The sequence below is a fragment of the Homo sapiens genome, chromosome 1, assembly GCF_000001405.40.
Source record: "Homo sapiens chromosome 1, GRCh38.p14 Primary Assembly".
NCBI classification, from domain to species: domain Eukaryota; kingdom Metazoa; phylum Chordata; class Mammalia; order Primates; family Hominidae; genus Homo; species Homo sapiens.
Genome location: NC_000001.11, coordinates 164052554 through 164056051, shown reverse-complemented (window position 1 = coordinate 164056051; position 3498 = coordinate 164052554). Strand labels below are relative to the sequence as shown.

At 35.2% G+C, this 3498-nt stretch overlaps 1 annotated feature.

Moving 5' to 3' along the window:
• Positions 1204 to 1705: an enhancer, noted in NCBI's record as "NANOG hESC enhancer chr1:164023584-164024085 (GRCh37/hg19 assembly coordinates)". NCBI's record gives its function as "activates a minimal SCP1, AML or CMV promoter by ChIP-STARR-seq in primed H9 embryonic stem cells {active_cell/tissue: H9 hESC(primed)}" and the evidence as "EXISTENCE:reporter gene assay evidence [ECO:0000049][PMID:30033119]".

Below are 3498 nucleotides of genomic sequence, written 5' to 3'. Positions count from 1 at the left end.
TTCCTTCATTCCTTCTACCTGGTAGTAGCTGCTGTCCTTCGAATACCAAATTTACACATTAGAGCTCAAAGTACTGGAAACTTATAATTCTAGTTCCTCAGGCCCAGTTCTGAATCTTTGAAGGACAATCTCTGCCTTGTCAAGATTGAATGAGATGGGCACCTCAAGAGAGGTGGTCATGTTTTATGAACATCCCGGCTGAGAGTACATTGTCTTTAATAAGAGGATCTTGTTCTGAGTCCTGATCCACTCCCTAAAATGGGGACTCACGTCCCAAAATATATTATACACCTTTTTCTTTTTGCAAATGGCATTCCAAATCTCTGATTTCAGGTTCATTTGATTTGTTCAATGAATATTTATTGAACACCTGTTATGCATCTGGCATTATTAGAATTGCTCGATTTAGCAAATAAAAATACAGGACACCCAGCTAAATTTAAATTTCAGATAAACAACAACTATATTTTAGCATAAGTATGTCCAAAATATTGCATCAGTATTCTATATTTTATACGGCAATTCCAGGCATTATTTTGTACCCTTAGTGTCATAATAATAAGGAAATTGATCACCAATTTTTCTTATTCACTTAAACTGAACCCAGACTGTTTAGGTTAATGTTGACAGCCTTGAAGGGTACTATTCTCTTTCTTTTTATTTCGATTTGGATTCACTCCCAATATCGGCTATCACTTTCTTTTCTAGAAGGACGAGACTATTATCCAGCTTATTACCTGTGGGGATATTTTGGTAGTTAGAAAAGGAATTAGCCCATTCAAGAGTCCCCCAACCAGATATCATTAAAATCACAGACCTTTGAATTCAGCATAAGCTCCTAAGATTTTGAATCAGTTCCCATGTCTTATTTAGGAAATTAATTATTTAGAAATATTAAATGGGTCGGGAATGGCTAATTTAAAATGATTAAGTTGTCACTAATTAAAAACCAACTTTATGTCCAGAAGAGACTTCTGTCCAGATGTATGTTATGACAACTTGGCTCTCTAAATATCAACTCATTAAAAAGTGTGTTCACACCGTCCCTCTTACCTCCCCTCACTTCACTATTTCTCTTCTCCATCTCCCCTTCACCACACATATATACACACACAATTACACGCATGCAAACACACACATGCACACATCGCACAGTTGAGCGCTGAGCTGGATGGACTGCCTTGTTTTTGCTTAGAGAATGGTATGTATGACTCCAGCAAAGTGCACCTACCTTACCATAACATTCTCCTGCAAAATCCCCCCTCCTTTCATGTCTGGCTCCAGACCACATCCAGTATACCTGAGGCACCGGCTGTGCTTTATGAAGTCTAAAATTTTCGGCTGGTTGTGTCTTTCCATGCAAACTCATTAGGCACTATTTACACCCGCTGCAGCTGCGAAGAGAGAGGTTCTGAACTCTGGCATTCTACAGTAGGCTTTGTTTCTCATTTACATTTGCATATTAAAGTGTTTGCCTGAAATAGGCTATTGAAATTAATTCAGGATTAATTGGTGTCTTTATCTCATTAGGACAATCTAATTTAAGGATGATGAAATTGTTTAGCCTCCCGTTTGCATAATTAGATTGCTTTGAATTGCTGTCATTATTGGCTCTTTAGCATCATCTGTAGGCCTCAAACAGACAAGAGCTTCAACCTCATAAAGACCAATCATGTGTTACAGCAGAGGGCTGTTAACCCCTTTTAACCCAAACTCACTTGGATTAGCAGTCACAATAGACAGGCCTTGGTCCCTGAGAGCCTTGAGTGCCTTCCTTTTTGAATTCTTGATACTCAGATTGATAAATTTATTCCATTTATATATTTGGTCATGGAAACTGTTACAGCATCTTTTCTGGGATCCAAAATGTTCAGAAAACTCACTCCTCTCCTTTCAGCACTACCTTCAATGTTATACTGACCTCCTTTCATTGTAAATTTCCACTCTTTTTCTACTTCCTTAGCTAATTGGAAATTCTTCTATTACTTAAAAATGTGACAACATTACTAGTATCTATGAGCGGATGTTGGGCTTCTACCAAGCTTGACACTCTTGTCTCAACACTCAGCAACAAGTATTATTTCAATGAAGTTACAGAATAAATGAGACATGGGGAGCCATCTGACATTCATTTAATTATTTATTCCTTCAACATTTAGCAAGTGTTTTACTGAGTACTTTTGATGTGCCTGATATTGTTCAAGTTACTGGGAAATGCTTGAGAAATAAGTCACAGGCTCCTCCTGCATTCTGTTTTGGGGAGATAGGAACATAGAATAAGTGACTGGAGGGCTGGGTCCTGGCACTAGCTGACTGCTTTGAGAAAGTACAAAATGTCAGTAAACTTGAATTTCTTCGTCTTATTTCATTAATGAAGGTTTGTACTGCATTAATGGTTCTCATTCCTAGCTACACATTGCAATGACTTGTGAGCTTTTGTAAAGTACCTATGCCTGGATAGAAATAAATTAAATCACAATCTATAGGGATGGGCATGGATTCCTGTATTCTTCAAAATTAGTTGAATGTAAATACTGAAAGCCAATCTCCCGTATGATTTTTAAGGTTGTGTCTAATAACTAACACAAACAAACAAATAAAGAGTATTCACACTTTATTGTAAACTGCAGGTAAGAATGATTGCTGAAATATAAAATTTGGATTTAATTTTTTCAGGTACTGAGAAAAACTAAAATTACAGAATAAAGACCATTTTTAGATTTTAATCTGAAGAAAACAAGAACTCCCAAAATCGATGCTTTATTTAAAGAAAACATACCTGCAGAAGTAAAAGAGTCTTAAATTAAGAAAAACATAAATAATATAAAATAAAACAATAACAATTACCAATGCAGAATATATAAATCACTTGTTAGCATTTTTTTTTCTGAAAAATTGAAGTGGCGTAGAATTCTTACTTTACTTAAAGATGCTTGATTCTTATGTCAGCTATTTTTCTCTTGTACTCTTTCCTAACTCTGCTGGTCATAAAAGAATAGCCAATTGCTACTGAAACAACCCTAATCATGCCACCAAGAGTAAGAACGAACAGAAAAGAATAAAAAAAAATTCTGACATAAAATTATAAGTTAGATAACATTATAGACCTTTTTCATAGATAATTCAAAGGACTTTTTATGAGGACTCCTAATCGATGTGCTTTACAAATAATATTATGATACAGTGATATATTGTTACTATGATTCTAGTTTTATAAAATAGAAAACTAGAATTTAGAAAAACAATAATCTACCATGAAGGCTTAGAACACCTGACTTTTAAAGTCTATTTTTACTTCGAATGAACTTTGCTTTAAATTTAACCTAGCTTTATATCTACAGGGCTAGGATTACAATTACACATTTTTACTATGTCCAGGTTATAAACTATTGGTTTCCTAAAGAAGTGCAATGACACACCCAAGCAGAAGTCTGGAGCCTTGGATTTGAGTAACAAATGGTCTGAGCTTGTATGATTTGCTTAACTTCCATGGCCTAA